The 22,349-nt window shown below is 40.8% G+C and overlaps 1 protein-coding gene and 1 long non-coding RNA gene across 5 annotated transcripts in view; one reads left to right on the forward strand and one right to left on the reverse strand.

Moving 5' to 3' along the window:
* Positions 1–22,349, forward strand: part of LOC107985664 (uncharacterized) — a 270,484-nt gene that overhangs the window by 242,944 nt on the left and 5,191 nt on the right. The window lies entirely within an intron of this gene.
* MAGEE2 (MAGE family member E2) lies at positions 16,917–19,184 on the reverse strand. The gene has a single exon (NM_138703.5). The coding sequence runs from the start codon at positions 18,979–18,981 to the stop codon at positions 17,410–17,412; it is 1,572 nt and encodes a 523-aa protein (NP_619648.1). The 5' UTR covers positions 18,982–19,184; the 3' UTR covers positions 16,917–17,409.

The raw sequence follows: 22,349 nt of genomic DNA on the forward strand, positions 1-22,349 counted from the left end.
ATATGAAATGTCTAGAATAGAATAATTTATGGATACAGAAAGTATACTTATGGTTGCCTAGGTCTCAAGAAAGAAGTGAATGGGGAGTGATTGCTAATGGATATGGGTTTTATTTTTGTAATGACTAAAATGTTCTAAATAAGATTGTGATGATGGTTGTACAAGTCTGTAAATACACTGATAACCATTGAATTATACACTTTAAATAGGCCAATAACATAGTATGTGAATTATATCTCAATAAAGCAGTTAAAATACATAAAAAGAATAATAGATTTTCATGTTCCTTTACACTAGCTATTGGCTTGCCGACTGGTGTTTTCAAATCCTGTTGATTCAAGTGCAAATGTATATGCATCACTCTGGGTTTTCTCTAGAAAATATTTGCTATGACCTTAAAACTTTGTGTATCTTCTGACCCTGAAGATGTTGTCTAATGGAAATTATTGTAAGGCAATAGTCGTTTATGAGAACAAAGTTTTTACTCTCATAATGCTTATCACAGTGATACCCTGCAAAATTATTAAAACATAAAACATATCATTTCTGTTGCAAGAAGAAATGATAGAACAGCTCTAAAATGTAAATATATGTCTCCATGAGACGATAGCAGTAGCTTAGAAATCAATGTGGAGACAGGATTAATCACCTGCCAAGTAAAGATCCCCTGGGCCATGAGTAATCAGCAACAATATCCAGGCAGTACAGTACTTTCCATGGGCCTTGGGTTAGACACAGAGACTTAATAGCTTCAGATTTGACCCAGCACATTCCCAGCTCTGGTGGCTATGCGGGAAAGACTCTTTCTGCTTGAGGAAATATGAGAAAAGAGTAAAGGGGACTTTGTCTTGCAGCTTGGATACCAGCTTGGCCACAGTGAGGTAGAGCACCAAGAGGGCAATTGGGTTTTTCAATACCAGGCACTGGTTTGTGGAAGGCATTTATGAAACTTCCCTTGTACAGAGGGTAACTCGCTTCCTGGAAGGGAGGGTTCCAGTCCAGGCAGTACTCACCATGGTCCTGGGGTGGTGGTGGCCAGAGAGAGAAACTCCAATTCTTGTGAAAAGGGGAAGAAAGGGTAGGAATGGCTTTCTCTTGTGGCTTGGGTGCCACCTCAGCCACAGTAAACCAGGGTACCAGGTAGATTCCTAAGATTGCTGATTCCAGGCTCTGGCTCCTGGATGACAATTCTGGACTTGCCTGAAAATGGGAACTTGCCAACTTGTAGGGATGGACAGAAGCCTGGCTGGCTTTGCTACCTGCTGATTATACAGCTCTAGAAGTTTGAGCAGACGTAGGTGTTAGGTAGATCATTGTTACCATGGGCCTTAGGGGAGAAACAGCCCCTTGCTGGCTTCAGGTTTGAGCAAGCACAGTTCAAGTGATGGTGGCCACAAGGGTTCTAATGTCCCTCTTCCCCAAGCTCCAGGCAGCTCTGCAAGACAGAGGCTCCATTTATTTGGAAGAAAGTAAGAAAAGGGAACAAGAGCCTTTGCCTTGTAATACAGAGAATTCCTTTGGATTGTACCCAAGACCACCAAGGCGGTACATCTACTACTCTTCAAGAGTCATGGCATTACTGTGCTTGGGGTACCTCCTAATGCAGATATGGCTGCAGTGGCCAGAAACTTAGATTACAAAACCCAAGTCCCTTCAAATACCTCGAAAGACTTTCCAAGAAGAATGGGTACAAACAATCCCAGACTATAAAGACTACAATAAATACTCAACTCTTCAATGTCCAGACATCAAGGAATATCCACAAACATAAACAACAAGACTAACCTGGAAACATGGCCTTACCAAACAGCCTAAATAAGGCACCAGGGAGCAATCCTAGAGAGAGAGACATGTGACATCTTTGAAAGAGAATGAAAAATAATTGTTTTGAGGAAAGTGAACGAAATTCAAGATATCACAGAGGAAAAATTCCGAATACTATCCGATAAATTTAACAAAAAGAATGAAATAAGTGAAAAGAATCAAGCAGAAAATCTGGAGCTGAAAAATACCATTGCAATACGGAAGAATGCATCACTCTCTCTCTTTTTTTTTCTTTTTTTTAATTATACTTTAAGTTTTAGGGTACACGTGCACAATATGCAGATTTGTTACATATGTATACATGTGCCATGTTGGTGTGCTGCAACACCATGGAATACTATGCAGCCATAAAAAAGGATGAGTTCATGTCCTTTTTAGGGACATAGATGAAGCTGGAAACCATCATTCTCAGCAAACTATCGCAAGGACAAAAAACCAAACACCGCATGTTCTCACTCATAGGTGGGAATCGAACAATGAGAACACATGGACACAGGAAGGGGAGCATCACTCTCTCTTACCAGCAAAACTGATCAATCAGAGGAAAGAAATGCTGAGCCTGGAGACAGGTTATTTGAAAATACACAGTCAGAGGAGACAAAAGAAAAGAGAATAAAAAAGAATGAAGCACACCTACAGGATCTAGAGAATAACCTTAAAAGGGCAAATCCGTGGTATTGATCTTAAACAGGAGGTAGAGAAATAGATGGGGATAGAAAGTTCATTCAAAATGATGATAACAGAAGATTTCCCAAAACCACAGAAAAATATCAATATTTAAATAGAAGTACAAGCAGATTTAACCCAAAGAAGACTACCTCAAGGCAATTAATACTCAAACACCCAAAGATCAAAGGGTCTTAATAGAAACAAGAGAAAAAAATAACATATAATGGAGCTTCAATATGTCTGGCAGCAGATTTTTTAGCAGAAATTTTATAGGCCATGAGAGAATGACATGACATAACATATTTAAAATGCTAAAGGAAAAAATCATGCATCATTTTTTTTAAGTTTTCACCCTAGTCTCCTTTTATATTTTATATTATTTTATTTTATTATACTTTAAGTTTTAGGGTACATGTGCACAATGTGCAGGTTAGTTACATATGTACACATGTGCCATGCTGGTGTGCTGCACCCATTAACTCATCATTTAGCATTAAGTATATCTCCTAAAGCTATCCCTCCCCCATCCCCCCACCCCACAACAGTCCCCAGAGTGTGATGTTCCCTTTCCTGTGTCCATGTGTTCTCATTGTTCAATTCCCACCTATGAGTGAGAACATGCGGTGTTTGGTTTTTTGTTCTTGCGATAGTTTACTGAGAATGATGATTTCCAATTTCATCCATGTCCCTACAAAGGACATGAACTCACCATTTTTTATGGCTGCATAGTATTCCACGGTGTATATGTGCCACATTTTCTTAATCCAGTCTATCATTGTTGGACATTTGGGTTGGTTCCAAGTCTTTGCTATCGTGAATAGTGCCGCAATAAACATACGTGTGCATGTGTCTTTATAGCAGCATGATTTATAGTCCTTTGGGTATGTACCCAGTAATGGGATGGCTGGGTCAAATGGTATTTCTAGTTCTAGATCCCTGAGGAATCGCCACACTGACTTCCAGAATGGTTGAACTAGTTTACAGTCCCACCAACAGTGTAAAAGTGTTCTTATTTCTCCACATCCTCTCCAGCACCTGTTTTTTCCTGACTTTTTAATGATTGCCATTCTAACTGGTGTGAGATGGTATCTCATTGTGGTTTTGATTTGCATTTCTCTGATGGCCAGTGATGGTGAGCATTTTTTCATGTGTTTTTTGGCTGCATAAATGACTTCATTGAGAAGTGTCTGTTCATGTCCTTTGCCCACTTTTTGATGGGGTTGTTTGTTTTTTTCTTGTAAATTTGTTTAAGTTCCTTGTAGATTCTGGATATTAGCCCTTTGTCAGATGAGTAGGTTGCGAAAATTTTCTCCCATTTTGTAGGTTGCCTGTTCACTCTGATGGTAGTTTCTTTTGCTGTGCAGAAGCTCTTTAGTTTAATTAGATACCATTTGTCAATTTTGGCTTTGGTTGCCATTGCTTTTGGTGTTTTAGACATGAAGTCCTTGCCCATGCCTATGTCCTGAATGGTAATGTCTAGGTTTTCTTCTAGGGTTTTTATGGTTTTAGGTCTAACATTTAAGTCTTTAATCCATCTTGAATTAATTTTTGTATAAGGCGTAAGGAAGGGATCCAGTTTCAGCTTTCTATATCTGGCTAGCCAGTTTTCCCAGCACCATTTATTAAATAGGGAATCCTTTCCCTGTTGCTTGTTTTAGTCAGTTTTGTCAGAGATCAGATAGTTGTAGATCTGTGGCATTATTTCTGAGGGCTCTGTTCTGTTCCATTGATCTATTTCTCTGTTTTGGTACCAGTACCATGACGTTTTGTTTACTGTAGCCTTGTAGTATAGTTTGAAGTCAGGTAGCATGATGCCTCCAGCTTTGTTCTTTTGGCTTAGGACTGACTTGGCAATGCAGGCTCTTTTTTGGTTCCATATGAACTTTAAAGTAGTTTTTTCCAATTCTGTGAAGAAAGTCATTGGTAGCTTGATGGGGATGGCATTGAATCTACAAATTACCTTGGGCAGTATGGCCATTTTCATGATATTGATTCTTCCTACCCATGGGCATGGAATGTTCTTCCATTTGTTTGTATCCTCTTTTATTTCCTTGAGCAGTGGTTTGTAGTTCTCCTTGAAGAGGTCCTTCACATCCCTTATAAGTTGGATTCCTAGGTATTTTATTCTCTTTGAAGCAATTGTGAATGGGAGTTCACTCATGATTTGGCTCTCTGTTTGTCTGTTATTGGTGTATAAGAATGCTTGTGATTTTTGCACATTGATTTTGTATCCTGAGAATTTGCTGAAGTTGCTTATCAGCTTAAGGAGATTTTGGGCTGAGACAATGGGGTTTTCTAGATATACAATCATGTCATCTGCAAACAGGGACAATTTGACTTCCTCTTTTCCTAATTGAATACCCTTTATTTCCTTCTCCTGCCTAATTGCCCTGGCCAGAACTTCCAACACTATGTTGAATAGGAGTGGTGAGAGAGGGCATCCGTGTCTTGTTCCAGTTTTCAAAGGGAATGCTTCCAGTTTTTGGCTATTCAGTATGATATTGGCTGTGAGTTTGTCATAGTTAGCTCTTATTATTTTGAGATACGGCCCATCAGTACCTAATTTATTGAGAGTTTTTAGCATGAAGGGTTGTTGAATTGTGTCAAAGGCCTTTTCTGCATCTATTGAGATAATCATGTGGTTTTTGTCTTTGGTTCTGTTTATATGCTGGATTACATTTATTGATTTGCGTATATTGAACCAGCCTTGCATCCCAGGGATGAAGCCCACTTGATCATGGTGGATAAGCTTTTTGTTGTGCTGCTGGATTCGGTTTGCCAGTATTTTATTGAGGATTTTTGCATCAATGTTCATCAAGGATATTGGTCTAAAATTCTCTTTTTTGCTTGTGTCTCTGCCCAGCTTTGGTATCAGGATGATGCTGGCCTCATAAAATGAGTTAGGGAGGATTCCCTCTTTTTCTGTTGATTGGAATAGTTTCAGAAAGAATGGTACCAGTTCCTCCTTGTACCCCTTGTAGAATTCGGCTGTGAATCCATCTTGTCCTGGGCTCTTTTTGGTTGGTAAGCTATTGATTATTGCCACAATTTCAGAGCCTGTTTTTGGTCTATTTACAATTAAAAGAACTAGAAAAGCAAGAGCAAACACATTCAAACGCTAGCAGAAGGCAAGAAATAACTAAAATCAGAGCAGAACTGAAGGAAATGGAGACCCAAAAACCCTTCAAAAAATTAATGAATCCAGGAGCTGTTTTTTTGAAAGGATCAACAAAATTGATCGACTGCTAGCAAGACTAATAAAGAAGAAAAGAGAGAAGAATCAAATAGACACAATAAAAAATGATAAAGGGGATATCACCACTGATCCCACAGAAATACGAACTACCATCAGAGAATACTACAAACACCTCTACGCAAATAAACTAGATTTCACCAACAGCAGAACTGTCCTACAGTTCTACAGCTAAAAGGAGTTTTTCAGTCTGAAACAAAAGGATGTTAATGAGCAAGAACAAATCATCTGAAGGTACAGAACTCACTGATAATAGCAAGTAAACACAAAAACAAGAATATTATAACACTATTATTGGTGTGTAAATTACTGACATCTTGAGTAGAAAGACTGAAACTAAAGCAGTAAAAAATAATAACCACAACCTTTCAAGACTTAAGCAGTTCAGTAAGATGTAAATAGCAACAACAAAAACTTAAGAAGTCCAAGAATGAAATTAAAAAGTGTAGAGTTGTTGGGGTGGGTGGGAGGGATAGCATTAGGAGATATACCTAATATTAAATGACGAGTTAATGGGTGCAGCACACCATCATGGCACATGTATACATATGTAACTAACCTGCATGTTGTGCACATGTGTCCTCAAACTTAAAGTATAATAAAAAAAGTGTAGTTGATATTGGTTGCCTTTTTGCTTGTTAGTTTCTTTATGCACTCAGTTTTAAGTTATAATTACTTTAAAATACCGAGTTATAAGATAGTATTTGCAAGCCTCATTCTAACAGCAATGCACACACAGAAAAAAGCAAGAAATTGAAATACACCACCAGGGAAAATTATCCTCTAAAGGAAGACAAGAAGGAAGGAAGAAAAAGAGAGGATCACAAAACAACCAGAAAAAAATCAAAATTTCAGGAGTGAGACCTCACTTATCAATAATAGCATTCAATGTAAATGGACTGAGCACTTCAGTCAAAAGACAAAGAGTAGATGCATGGATTAAAAAAAAAAGAGACCTAAGAATCTGTTGCCTACAAGAAACAAACTTCACCTATAAAACACACATAGAGTGAATATAAAGGATGAAAAAAGATATTCCATGCCATTGGAAACCAAAAAAGAGCAGGAGTAGCTATACATATATCAGACAAAATAGATTTCAAGACAAAAACTTTAAAAAGAGACAAAGAATGTCATTATGTAATGGTAAAGGGGTCAATCCAGCAAAAGGATATGTAAATATATATGCACTCAACACTGGAGAATCAAGATGTATAAAGCAAACATTATTAGAGCTAAATACAGAGATAGGCTACAATATAATAAGAACAGGAGACTTTAACTTCCTCTTTCATCATTGGACAAATCATTTGGACAGAAAATCCGCAAGGAAACATCAGGCTTAATCTGTGCTATAGATCAAATGGACCAGATAGATATTTATAGAACATTTTATCAAATGGCTGCAGATGCACATTCTTCTCAGCACATAGATTATTTTCAAGGATAAATCATATTTTAGGCTAAAAAACACGTCTTAAAAATTAAAATTAAAATTAAATTTTATATCAAGTATCATCTCAGACTTCAGAGATGACGCAAAACTAGAAATCAATAACAAGAGAAATTTGGAAACTATGCAAATACATGGAAATTTTAAAAATGTGTTTCTGAATGACCAGTGGATCAATAAAGAAATTAAAAAGGAAATAAAAAATTTTTGAAACAAATGATAATGGAAATACAACATAACAAAACCTATGGGATACCACGTATGCAGTATTAAGAGGGAAGTTTGTATCTGTAAGTGCCTACATCAGAAAATTAAAAAAACTTCGAATAAACAACCAAATGATCCATCTTCAAGAGCTAGAAAAGCAAGAGCAAAGCAAATTCAAAATTGGTAGAAGAAAGGAAATAATAAAGATCAGAACATAAATAAATAAAATGGAAACAAATAAAACAATACAAAAGATCAACAAAATGAAAAGTTTGTCTTTTGAAAACATAAAAAAATTCTCAAACCTTTACCTTAAAAAAAAAGAGAAAAAACCCAAATGAATAATATGAGAAATGAAAAAGGGGACATTACAACTGATAATACAGAAATTCAAAGGATCATTAGAGGCTACTATGAGCAACTGTATGCCAATAAATTGGAAAACCTAGAAGTGGATAATTTTTTAGATAATGCAACCTACCAAGATTGAACCTAGAAGAAATCCAAAACATGATCAGAGCAATAACAAGTAATGAGATCAAAGCCATAATCAACGTCTCTCAGCAAAGAAAAGTCTTGGACCTGATAGCTTCACTGCTGAAATTTGACATTTAAAGAAGAACTAATACCAATCCTATTCAAACTGTTCTGAAAAATAGGGGAATGAATACTTCCAAACTCTTGGTACAAGGACGGTATTACCCTGATACCAAAACCAGAAAAAGACACATCAAAAATAGAAAACCACAGGCCAGTATTCTTGATGAACATTGACACAAAGATTCTCAATTAAATACTAGCAAACCAAATATAATGACGTATTAAAAAGATTATTCATCATAACCATGTTGGATTTATCCTAGGGATGTAAGGATGGCTTACCACATGCAAATCAATCACTGTGATACATCATGTCAACAGAATGAAATTTCAATTGATGCTGAAAAAAATTGGACAAAATGGAACATCCCTTTATGATAAAAAAAAAAAACCCTGAAAAACTTGGTACAGAGGGAACATACCTGAACACAATAAAAGACATATGTCACAGACACACAGCTAGTATCATACTGAGTAGGGAAAACCTGCCAGCTATATTTTTCTGAGATCTAGGACATGACATTGATGCTTACTTTCATCATTGCTGTTCAACATGGTACTGGAAGTCCTAGCTAGAGCAGGCAAGAAAAAGAAGTAAAGGGCATTTATATTGGAAAGGAAGAAGTCAAAGTATGTTTGTTTGCAGATGATATAACCTTATATTTGGAAAAGTGTAAAGATTCCACCAAATCTATTAGAACTAGTAAACAAAATTGCAGGATACAAAATCAACTTACAAAAATCAGTAGCATTTCTATATGCCAGCAGTGAACAATCTGAAAAAGAAATTGAAAAAGCAATCTTATTTAAAATAGCCACAAATAAAATAAAATACCTAGAAATTAACTTAACCAAAGAAGTGATAAATCATGGAAGAAAGATTTTACCTTACCTAGAGCTGAAATGGATTTAGGAAGCTTAGCAAAATATAAAAGTAGAAGAATCAATGGAAAGAGCCCTGTAGGCGCTCCTGGTTTCCAGCTTGAGCTTGTGGAAATCATCCTTGTGTTTATCTCATAGGTTTCCTTGGGCGTACAAAGCCATTGGAATTAAGGAAGGGCCACAGGGTGAAAGAAGCTTCTAGCTGAACTTTGTACTAATTTTGACCAAATGTGAATTTTCTTGAGCAGAATCAATGGGCAAAGGGGAAGTGCAAACTTTTTCTTTCTTTCAGGGATACCAATAGGTCATAGTTTTGGTCTCTTTAGGTAATCCCATATTTCATGGAGGCTTGTTTGTACTTCTTTATTGTTTTTTCTTTATTTTGTTTGACTGAGTTATTTCAGAGAGCCAGCCTTTGAGCCCGGAGATTCTTTCCTCATCTTGGTCAGTTCTGCTGTTAATACTGTGATTGCATTGTGAAATTCTTGAAGTTAGTTTTTAAGTTTTATCATATCACTTTGATTCTTTCTAAAAGTGGCCATATTGCCTTTCATCTCTTTTACCGTTTCATTGTATGCCTTAGAAACCTTGGATTAGGTTTTGACTTTATCCTGAATTTCAAGGATCTCCATTCCTATCCTTATTCTGAATTCTACTTCTGCCATTTCAGCCTGGTTAAGAACCATTCCTGGGGGAAAAGTGCAGTCTTTTGAAGGGAAGAAGACACTAGCTTTCTTAGTTGCCAGGCTTCTTGATCTGCTTTTTTTCTCATTTTTGTGGGCTGATGTTTCTTCAATAATTGATGTTCCTGTTTCTTTGGAAAGCATTGGGTAGATTTTTTTGTCTTCTTTGATGTCTTTAGGGGTTTGGTTGTGGTAGACTCAGTCAACAGACTTTGTTTCTGGAAGATTTTAGGAGGCCAAGGCTCACCTCAGGACTCCTGGGCCTCATGTACTAACTCTGGGGGGCTGATATTAGGTCCCCACCTTTGTTCTTTGGCTTCTTGATATTAGGAACCTGCTGTGCTAGAGGGGTTGATGTATTCCAAGGCTGGTGGTTACAACACTCCAATGGGTGGTGCCAATCAAACACTTCACTGGGTGGTGGCAGTAGAATCTATGCTAATTCCCACCTGCCAGCAGTGGTGGAATCACAGCATGGTGCACACTCATTGGCTGGATAAGGAGTCTGGAAGGCACAGGGTTGCCAGCTTCCATGTGGGCATTTATAGTAGCAGTGGTGGTGGCACAGTATGTGGGAGGGGTGGGGCTGTTGATTTCCATTCATGCATTCATGTTGGTGGCAGTGTTGGTGTGGAAGCATGACACCGGCAGATATGAAACTAGTGCCCTCCATGCATGCATTCACACAAGCAGCAGTGGCAACACAGGGTGGAGGCCAGGGCTTCTGGTCTCTATGCACACATGCAAGCAATGGTGGTGCAGCAGGAGTGGGCAGGGTGTGCTCACATACAGAGTAGTGGCATAGTGGGGTGCATACATAAATGCATGCTGGCAGGGAAGGGAGTTGAGGTCAACCAGCATGCACATGCACTGACAAAGCAATGTCAGGGGTAGCTGTGGGCAAATTTGTGCTGCCAAAGGGGCACAGAGGAGGCTGTAGTTGGGGGAGTGTGTGGGTGGGCTTGTGTGCACCAGTAGAAGCTGCTCTGCTGGAGCTCTGCAAATGTGAGGCATGGTCTGTCAGTGCAGGAACTGTGATGTGTGTCTCCAGGAGGCATTCCAGCTGGGCACCCAAGGCTGCACTGCAAGCATGTGCACTAGGGGAGTAAAGGTGAGCCTTGGGGGATGGACATCCCTGGCTGTACTCCACTGACGACACTCACACACCAAATCCCTTGGGTTCCACACTGGCTGGTCTTCTGCCTCTACCACTTCTCTAAGCAGCTCTGCCTGCCACTACAAGTGTCCATGCAGGTTAGGGGGTCTCCTGCTGCCAGAATTCCAGAGATCCATGGTGTGGGCAGGTTGCTCCTCACCTGCTCAACTTACCTTTTCCCTGGGAGTGGCTGGTGGCCAGGAACAAGTCCCAGTGCATGGAAGTCCCTTGCAGGGTTCCCACCTTCCTTTCTCTATAGCCCAGCATCTGAGTCTTCCCTCCATCAATTCTCATTGTCTTTCCTCCAAATATATGCTTGGAGTGTGCCAGGCTTCCCAATGTCCTAGTCTCTTGGTGGCAGATATTTCACTTGGCTGCACTGAGTGAGCCACCTTGCCTATAATTTTTAGAAGGCTTTTAACTAGATATTATCTCATTTATCCATTTTTGCTTTGGTTGTCTGTGCTTGTGAGGTACTACTCGAATCTTTGCCTAGTCCAGTGTCTTGGAGAATTTCTGTGATATTTTCTTGTAGTAGTTTTATAGTTTGAAGTGTTAGATAATAATCAGACTCAACAAATGGCAGAATTCACAATTAATGAAACACACAATAGTAGATCAATGTAAAAATAACTTTAAAGATAAATCTGGTTTAAATATTGAAAGAGACGAAAAAGGGACTGTAATTTGTAAGACAAGAACAGGAATCTTCTTTAACAATAAGGTATATTTTAAAAAAGAAACAACTGGAAATTTTATAAATGAAACAGGTATGCACTGAAATAAAACCATTAATAGATTGCTCATATATTTCGACAGAGTCAAGGCTGAGTATTGAGTTAGAACACAGATTAGACAGGGGTCACATCTAATTCATCCCTGTACCCCAGTGTCTAATACAATAAGGCCAACATATAACAAGTGTTTCAAAATTGCTTATTAAATTGAACTGGGTAAGTGGTCTTCAGATAGGCCAGACATCTCTGGGCTTCTCCAGTGTATAGGGGTTTCAGGGGGGCAGGACAGCCTCAAGTGGAACTACCTGAGGGCTGGGCAGAGCTGGGTGTGGTTCCTCGTGGGTGGAGTAGGCAATAAAGGCTATCTAGAAAAGAGGTACTGGCTTTACCATTCACCTCAGGGACTAACTAGTTTGTTCCCTCTCAGAGCTGGAGAGTGAATTATCTTCATTCAGCACATGTCTGGCTACTATTCATCCTCCCCGTGTCAAAGATACTTAAAGTAGTGAAAACAGATCTTATTCAGTAACTACTAACAATGCTGAAAAAAGCTGAGCTCCATTCCAATTTGTGCAAAGGTGGTTTGGGCATTTTAAAGGGAGAATGATGTTGGGGGCTGAGTAGAGTCAGAGAAGTGAAAACTACAAAATATTGGTCAGTGTAAATGCACTGTGTTTAGGCCATCTGTGTTTGTTAGCCGGCAGTTATCAAAGTTAGGATTTGTCCTTCCACAGAGACTGGAAGACAGGGTTCCTATCTTTCTTGATTACATTTCAAAGAAATGGCTCTCAGGTCCTTGGGAGAGACATTTCTAAATTGTAAGAGATACATATTCACTGTAATAAGCCCTTTTAAATAAGTGCTCTAAAAAAGGGAGGTCAGGGTCTTATCATCAGATTTTGGCAAGAACAAACAGTATATTTTCCTGGCAGCATTGAACTTTCTCAGGCAGTCATTTTAGTGGGGTTTGGGGTCAATTATAGGGACCCAGCCTTAGGCTGTGAGAAACCATGCTAGAGTTTAGTTAGTTCCCTTACTACTACAGGGGTTTGGACAGAAGTGTTAGTTCCAGGAGTTCTGCAGTTCTCCCCTGTTAGAAACTCTAAGGATGTCCATGGCTATATTTATGTGACAAAACATTATATAAATGGTTGATGTTAACAACCTGCCAAAGATTATTTTTCTTACTCCCTCCCTCCTAGGCCTTTTGCAACCCCCACCCCCATTACAGAGAAAGGGGAACAATCCTGTGTGCAACCAGCTCTCCATACCTGGCCCCCACAGCTGGATCTCAGGGTGATCTCCTTTACCACCTGGAATGATAAATACCTTCTTCCAGGACAGCAGCCCTCTTTATCTTGCAGAAGGAGGCAATCCAGGCTGGGTCCTTCGCCAGGGTACCATTTTCCTGCAGCCTCTACAGGAAAATAAGCTCGTCTGAGCTGTGGCCTGAGCAGGTCAAGTCTTCAGTAGAGAGGTCAACTTTAGAAACAATGGCTATTCTTGTGTCTTCCCTTTCTCTATCCTCCTTCCCTTCTATATTACCAAAGAAGTGAACACTTAGAGGACAGAAACTTTATCCTGTCTAGCCCATGCCAAAGAAGATGTTCTCAAGAGAAGAACAGTTTGAAAGAGGCTGCTTGGACCTTAGGCCTCAGCTCCCAACTCCCTCCCTAACTCTTTCCCCTTAGAAAGGAAATCATCCTCACTGACTGAAGCCCTGAGTGGCAAGTCAGCAGGTGGTTTCCTGTAGGACACTGAGGTCTGCTTAAATAGACCACCCATATGCTTCCATAAAAATATCTTGTGTATTGGAGTCTACAAATAATATATTCTTGATGCACCTAAACCTCACTAATTCATAACCACCTGGGGTTAACATTTGCCTGAAGTATTTTCTAAAGAAAACAAAGACTAGTGATTCTAACAACCCAGATGTTGTTTGACTTCAGCTACCCAGGTGTTGACAAGTAGTAGTTTTAAAAGCAGTTGTATGGCATGGAAATATCACTAGACTAAGATACAACTGGTTTGGGTCACAGTTCTGAAATCATCAAATGGTAGATATGTGACTGGGATTTTCTATCAATTTATTGAAAACAGCATTAAGTGGCCTAGAAAGATGTGAGTAACTTTCCCAAGTTCACACAGCTAGTAAGTGACAGAAAAAGTACCGTCCAGATCTAGAGTTCTTAACCATTCCAAATATATTGCCCCATCCTTATCAGGTGCTTGTTTATTCCTATGGTTTCTAGAGAGCAAAAGTATTAATATTTCAGGGTACACTTTTTTGCAACTTTTTTTGGCAACTATCTTCAAATCCTGCCTGCAGAGAATTCCTAAAGATATTGTTGAGCACTCATTGAGATGGAAGACAAACCCTGTTCAACGAGAAATCTTACTGTCTGGAGATCCCCTCTAAGAAAGAAGAAGGAGACTGCAGGGGTCTTGTCTGAACATGAAAGACACTTATGAGTTGGTCTAGATTGTCAGTATTGGAGGATTTAGGGGCAGCAATCCTTGGGGCAGGGGGAATTTCCTTGAAATCCACATATGCCAGTCTAGCTCAGCTTTTGCTTGGTTTGTATGTTTATTTCTGGATGGCTTGTGTGTGTATGAAGCTGATGTAGAGAAGGGGCAGGAAAAGATTTTCTAACCACTCATCCCTGAAAGAGGGCACTCCTAGGACTCAGGAACTGAAAGTGATTATATTCTCCGTGTTGTCTCCCTAGGAAGGATCCAAATCATAGGTTAAAGGGAATTCTGGATGGAATATATACAGGATGATGAATCCATATCTAACCAATACCTATTCTGCAAGCCCCAACATGGCCAAAACTTCAATACTTGGTGGACATTGATGGCCCACAGAGTCTGCAAATGAACTCAGGCCTTTCCATCTTCCAAATGAGTTCACAAAGATAAGAAAGATATTTTGTCTGGTGTTCTAAAGGCTTAATAGTGACTTGCATTGGAGTAATTTGTACAGCATCCTCTGTAAGTCTTGTTTACCAGACACTCACTTCTACCCCTAAGTGTTTCTTAGTGGGCGTTAATTCTAAATTGGTGCCTAAAGGATGGGAGTACTCAAATCTCTCTTGGTCTTCAAAGGAATGGCTGTGGACACAGAGAGACTATACCTTTTCCCACACCATAGGCATGTGCCCTGCAAGTCTCACTCTTGTCACTTCTGGAAAACTGCACGTGGTCTCTGTGACACAGGGCTATTTCCCACTTCTGTTCTTCAACTCTGAGCAACCCTGGGCAGGTCAGAAGTTCTTTCAGGTCATTGTTCTTTCAAGATTCCAAAAAAATTACTTAACACTTCTGGAGCTCCAGAAACGATGATATTTGACGCTCTCTAAATGAGATAAGCAGATAAGGCTGGAGGCTTGAAGAGGTTCAGCTGGAGAAGACTCATAGGTCAGAGTAGGGAGACTGGACAGAAATGCATACTCTATACCAAGACAGCTCTCATGGAGCCCCAGTGGTGGAACAAGGAAGAGCCTGGAGAAATTTCAGCTTCACTTTCATTCTCCTGAGTGCTATCATCTTGCTTCTCCACTCTGACCATGCAGCCTTTCTTTGTATATTCCAAAAGTCAGAAAATTTGAGGGGAATTATTGGACAGGCCCAGAGTGGGGATCCTTGGACTCCAAGCCCAGTTCTCATTGACTGGCTGTGTGACCTTGGGCATATTAGTTAAGCCTCAGTTTCCTGTAGTGTTAAGTGGGACTATTAAAATGCTTCTTAGAGAAATGGTGGAAAGATTAGATCTAAGAACATGAAGAACCCAGCACAGTGCCTGACGCATATTTAGTATTAAAACAATTGGCAGCATTACATTGATCATCGTTGTCCAGATGCTACATGTTCCCCTTGGCAGATTTCTTTCTCTCTTTACTGGAGCCCCCCAGAAGAGCTGACATGTTTGTGGACCCAGAAATTGCACCAATCCAAAAAGTCAGAGTAAAAAAAACTTGGCAACTTAACGTGCTTGCTTCCATACCCTCTCCCGTCTCACAAGCATGTATGGGTTAACAGTCCAAGGGAGCTGAAGAATGAGAGAATTGCTGTTTAGCACACAGGCAAGATTTTGTTCCAAGGTCCCAGATTTTGAGTTGGATACTCTCCCGCCTGACAACCCCACCCCACCCCATTTTCAAGAACCCTTTCAGACCAGACTTTCCAATTACTCATTTTCTCGTCGCTAGAAGCCCTGCCCTTAGCATTCAGACTTTGGAATGCTACCGATGGGAAGATCACTGAGACTGGGCTGTATTGCCCTAGCAACCGCGGAGTGCGCCTGCGCAGTGGCATCCCCAGGCCGACAGCTCTAATTAGGCTTCTGCATCTCAACCGGCCAGACTTTGGATACAAAACGGCATATCTTCCTTCTCCCTGCCGCTCCCCCAGCGAAACGATTGTGTCGTTCTCTTCCTGAGGCTGATGAAAATGTGAGGAATGTCTTCCAACTCTCTCCCATCTAATAGGAGGTAGCAGATGGGAGTAGCCCCCGGTGATTAAATGGATGAAAAAGGCAGAAAGCTTCTGTGTGCCAGGAAATGAAGACATATAGATCCTACACTACCGGTAGGCAGCAGCCATCCCTCTGTAATAAGTGATTTTCCATATGACACTCATCCTTATACCAGGGCTCCGTCTCAGAAATTGTTACCTGCTGGCTCTCTAGGGAAGGCTTATGGGGAGCTATGAGACAGGTTAGAAGCTGTAAGGGGGATCAGAATGAAGACAGCCTAAATGCAAACACTCACCTTAACAGCTTGGGTGCTGAAATAAACTGCATTGGCAGAGGATCCCCTGCAGAGTTCCTCCAGGTAGATTTTTCAGTCTGACTGAAGGTGCAAGGCCATTGTTGGCTCTCAAGAGTCACTCTGAGGATATGGGCCCTTGTTACCTCTGCCACAGAGTTATTTCTCCCACTCCTCCTTTAAAGTCATTGTCTTTCTGAGCTATTTCAAATTCTTCACAGGTGCTTTACACGCTGCTTCTGTCTTCACTAGCAGTCCTTCCCTTCCTCTCCCCAACCTCAGATCTTACAATAGATGTCACTAAAGCACATCTTGTCCCCAGCCCTCCATACCACTTCATCCTTCCCACCACTATTCCTGACTACTTTCCCACTCATCCAGGCTTGACACCCCTGCACCTTCCCCAGACTATCTTAGATGCCATCACCTTCCCACTATCCTTCCCAGCACTTAAAATCGGGAGTTATTCTTGTGGACTCTCATAGAACTCTGAGCTTATGCCTATTATGCCACTTTCCATAGCATAATATAATTGCTTGTTTACTTCCATGAGCCCTCCCCCTTAAGCTCTGGAGCCCAGCTGGGTCTTCTTCACTCTTTTATTCCCAGCACACAGCACTGTTCTCAGAGCATGGCAGGTGCTTAATGCCTATAGAATAAATGAATGCACAAGCATAGGGTCTAATTCATTATGCTTTTATTGCAAATACAGGTAAATGACAGTTTTGTGTATATATATATTTGTGTATATATAGTTGTATATATGTATACGGCAGTAGACACAAAGGGAGAGCAATCACAGATCAGTGGTTTTGTGTTTGTTTTGTTGTGTGTGTGTCATTGTTATTTAACTCCTGTACCAGACCATTTTACTGATTATTTCAAAGATGTAAATATTATCAATACATTTTACAGAGCTGTCTGAACTTTTATGCTGAAACAAGACCGGGATGGCAAATGAAAAATTCCATTTATAAATATTGGTCATTAACCTAATCCAAGAGTATATTAAAAGGAAGGAAATACTACTAGAATTGGAACACAGACAGCAAGCACAATTTGTACTTCCCACACAAGCCCTACCTGGATTCTAATTTAGAGCCCCAATGCCTATTTTACCAAGGCATCTTTAACTTATGCCACTCAGCTGAAGTGATACATATTCCCTAGACTTCACGTGGGGTCAAGGAAAAACATGATAGTTGCCTCAGATTTGGCTCTGGCCTCCTCATCTTCCACAGCCTCCCTATATTGTTCTGGCCAGTTCTGTGGTCGCTTTCTGTAGAGCCTGGCCATGTACTCCAAGACTTTCATTTTGATGGTTTCATGGTGAGCTCGAGGACCCCATAGAAGCTCATATTCAACTGGATTAGAGTAGGACAGTGGCCTGCATTCCAGATAGCGCTGTCTCATAAGCTTACGGGTGATGGAATGCTTTCTCCCTACATCCACACTAAATCTTCGAAGCAAGTTCCAGACATTGGCCTCTTTGACACGGTTGCCCATCAGGAAGATCAAACCTAGGATTGGCATTACATATTCTTGAGTGGGTCTCCCCAGGCTCTCTAGCATCACTTGCTCTTCCTCTGATTCTGGTTGCTGGACAAGGAGGTAGATGTGCTCACTGGTATCAACCTCAATCAGAGACAACCCATAGAACATATCAAGAATTAGAGTAGCTCTATTGAGGATATTTGGGAACACATCCTCAAATTCTTTGCCAGTGTGAGCCAATAGCTCATCCTGATGTATAGGCAGCATCTCCTCAGTGACACTAATAGCCAACTGGACCAAATCATTTGCCTTATCATTCATAGTGTCCTCCGACCAGAACTCTAAGCCAGCAGTCAGGCTTCTTTCTTTGGTTTTGTCACCTTCCAGGGCCTTATTATATTCTTCTGGCCAGCTCCAGGGTTCTTCATCATGGGCATCTGACACAAACTTCAGGGCTTCCATCTTTGTGATTTCCCTGTGGGCTCTAGAGCCCCACAAGAACTCAAACTCAAGGGGATTAGTGCCATACACCGGCCAGTACTCCAAGAATCGCATGCACACAAAGTCAGTAGTGAGGAGGTTCCTTGTGTTCCCAAAGAGGTTGTTGATCCTCTGAGGCTTATCCCACATATCAACTTTTAGCAGCAAGTCCCAAATGGAGGCCTCTCTTGCTCGGTTCCCATTCAAGAGGATGTGGCCTAGGACTAGGGCCAGGAGACTTGCTTTTGGCATGTCCAGGGACTCCGCTATCCTATCGGTGATCTGGAAACCCCGTTTGCTGACTAAATTGTAGGTGTCAGCCTGAGGATCAATAACTCTCAGGTTCAACCCAAAGACCTGGTCCAGGTGAGCTGAGGCTCGTCTGAGGATCTCAGGGAACTGATCTGAGTACTCTCTGAGAAACTCCAGCATCTCGGACTGCTGGATAGACCCCTCCGTCTGGCTTTTCATTCTCATGAAATTCACCAAAGCAATCGACCTGTCTTCTAGAGGGTCATGGACCCTGAGCGCCCCCAAACGTCTGGACTGCTCGTCGATCAGGACCTCCAGGTCATTCGGGTCCTGAACGGCCTGGGAAGTGTTGACACACTGAGAGTTGATTGGCGCCTGAGGGCACTGGGGGGCATCAACGACTAGCATGGAGGTGGGGGACCCGGAGGCGTTAGTAGCTTGTATTTCACCTCTGCCGTCGCCGTAATCTGCAGTGATCTCTGCGCTACAGTGGCGTGCATTCTGGCTTACCAGAGACATGGTTCCAGGAGACAGGAGCGGGAACGGTGAGATCAGCGATCAGTCGGAGAGAGGACCGCAGCAGTGTTGGTGCCTCGGCACAAAGCTGAAGCCCGAGACCCTGGAGCTGGAAGGATCAAAAGTGAAATCTGGTGTGAAGAGCGATCTTTCTACACAAGTGCTGGCCAGCAACGACTGCAAGCCTCAGAGCGTTATTTTGCCGCAGCCTACGCAGGCGCAGTCAGTCTTTGCATTGTGGTGGCCACGCCCCACTCCTCGTCTTCCATGCTTTGTCTCTCATTCCTGCCCCCTCACCTCTGAAGGGCAGGCTAGGCTGGTTGAAGTGGTTGCTGCTGAATTCGAACTTGTTAGAGAAGAGAATTCGAGAAATGGAGTAACAGATATAGCAAAAGGGTCAAGGGATGAGGAGCCGTTCAGTGATGCTCCCTCCACTTGAAGTTTTTCTGTGGGGCTTAAAGCACCATGCTATCAGGCGGTAGAGGATTCAGAGAGGAGGAGGAGGAGCAGAAGGTGGAGGAAGGGAGGAGGAGGAGGAGGGCGCTAACGATTAGAATTATTTCACAGACTCGTTAAAGCTTCCATTCACTCAACAGATATTTACTGACCACATGCCACATGCCAGGCACAGTGCTGTACATCAGAATACAAACATAGTGATTTTTCCCTTTTTGTGTGGAGCTTACATTCTGGGGTATGTTCAAACAATGGTAATAATAATGAGAGATAACACTTATGGAGCACTGACTATGTGCAGGCACTCTTTCTGGTGCTTTCATTTTCCTCATACTTATTCATATAATGCTAGCTCTTAGATAGCTACTCTTAATGATCCTCATTTTACAGATGAGGAAACTGGGTCATGGAGGTAAATGTACCTGTCCAAAGTCAAGCAGCAATAAATGAAAGAGACCACTCAGGTCTGTCAGTCTCAAGCATATTACTTTCTCTCACACCATCTGATCTTTAACCTTATTTATTAAACATGACTCATAAAATAGATGAAAATAGGTGCTCTGATGGAGGGTGAATTAACATGTGATACAAACACAGAGGTAAGTATTGAATTACAGCTTAGTCTGGGGTATGTTAAATTGCGGGCAGTTTCCAATAAAGCCTCAAGAAGGAGTTGAGCTCTAAGTGATGAATAAATGGGAAGGGTTTATAGTAGTATTCTAACCTGAAGTAACAGCAACAGGAAAGGCCTAGAGGAGTGTAGGTACAAGTTTGTGTAACAGCCACTCACCACGGTGACTAGAGCCAGAGTGCACTAGAATGGGTGGTAGATGAGGATGAAGGTTGCTAGACAGTAAGGATTGGATTTTCTGTTCTTCACTTAGTATGTCAAAGCTTGTTGTGGCCCCACAGGGCAGGAATGGCAGCGTCAGAATAGAAGCTATTTATTCAGAGGGTTTATGTATGTGTATGCGTGCCAGCACACGTGTGTTTGGGGAGGCATAATCCAAACACTTTTGCCAGGAAGAGGTGAGTCAGCTGCTTTATTTTCTGAGAGCTCTACTAAAATAGTTGGGCTAAAACATAGGTGTAATCCTAGACTTCAATCATCAAGTTGAAGACTATGATGGTTGCATTTTTCAGTGCGGCATTGGAAAGGGAAAAGATTTATATAGGGTTGCCATCTGCAGTTACAATTGAAATTCTTCCTTAAATTCTTGATGGTAATGAATACTGTTACATTCCACAGAACATTACATTCAGTAATCTTATGCCCTGGAATTCCTTCAGAGGCTACTGTCTTCACATGTGGGGGTTACTCACCTCTGAAATTGTCTACATCCCAGGTGCTTTCTTCAGTACTGAAGTAGGTAACTCAGGGCCACGAATTTAGTCAAACTAGGCTAAAGAGATCAATGTTTACACAAATGAATGTGCATGTTCTAGACGGTAGAAATGTGTGGTTTGTATGCTGATCCTTTTTTCGGGGAGAGTGTTGTAGAAACCAGCACTGTCTTCCAAGCTGCTACAAAGGTATGATTAAGGCCAGACCTGATGGGGCCCTTCACCCTGGTCTTTAACCTTCCCCAGAAGGGCTCCTGTTCCTTGTCTTAGATAGGTGCTTCCCAGGGGGCAAATTGAGATAAGATCTTTAAGCTCTCTAGTTATAAACAAAAACAAACAATTTGGTACATTTTCCCCCTGAAATTCAGCTCACAGTTTGTCGCGAGTTGAACCTCCTACTACTCCCTCCATCTAATAAAGAAAAGCAACATTGAATGGCAGCATCTTATCTCTGAAATGACATCCTGATCCCATTCCACAGCATTGAAACCCTTAACAAGTTGGTCGCTACTTGGCTCTCTATCTTCATCTTTATTCCCCAGTACATCCTTCCATGATATCTTCTTCCTGGCCATATTGAGCTACACTTCTTGTCTCAGCTATTTCTATTCTACAAGTTTCTAAAAAGTTCTAGTTATTGTTAAATGAATAACAAAAAGCTGTCTCTGTGACTGTGACATATGGCATGTTTTCCGCTCTTTAAGTATAATGTAAAAAAGATGAGATCATGCTCTCCATTCTGAACTTTTTTTGATGCTTCCTGACCTCCTTTTTATACATTTCCAGAACAATTTTAATAAAGTGTTTTTTCACGTTAATATTGAAATATGGCATACACAGAGTAAACAAATCATGAATGTAGAGCTTGATAAATTATGATAAATTTAACATACCATCTGACCATGATGCCACTCAAGAAACAGACCATTACAGCATCTCAGAAGCTCCCATGACACTCCCTCCCAATCTCTTCCCACTCATTTGTCCTGAGAGAAAACCCCTGTTCAGACTTCTAGCATCACAGTTAGTTTTGCCTCCACCCAAACTTTGACTAATATTAGTAGAATTATACATCATATATTTATTTGTATTTATCTTTTTCCAACAAAATCCTACACTGTGTTATTTACCCATGTTGTATATAAAAGTAGTTTTTTCATTATCATTACTATATAGTTTACCATTGTAGAAATATGTACCACAACTTACCCTGTCAACTGTTGATGGGCATTTGCTTTGTTTCCCATTTGTGGCTATTGCAAGTAATGTTACTATGAACCTTTTTGCACTTTTCTTTTAGTTTATGTGTATATTTATGTTGGAAATAAGTCTATGAGTAAAATTACTAGGTCACAAGTATGTATATTTTTAGTTTTCATAGATATTACCAGAGAGTTTTTCAAAATTCTTGCATCAGTTTGTACTCCATGTAGTGCATAAAAATTTCTATTGCTCTGTATTCTTGTCCACACTTGGTATTATTGTTCTGTTTGATTGTAGGCATTCTGGTGGGTGCATTGTGGTATATCATTATAATTTTTTTTACTCATATTTAGCTTTTTAAAAAACAC

This window comes from Homo sapiens, chromosome X (genome assembly GCF_000001405.40).
Source record: "Homo sapiens chromosome X, GRCh38.p14 Primary Assembly".
In the NCBI taxonomy this organism is placed as follows: domain Eukaryota; kingdom Metazoa; phylum Chordata; class Mammalia; order Primates; family Hominidae; genus Homo; species Homo sapiens.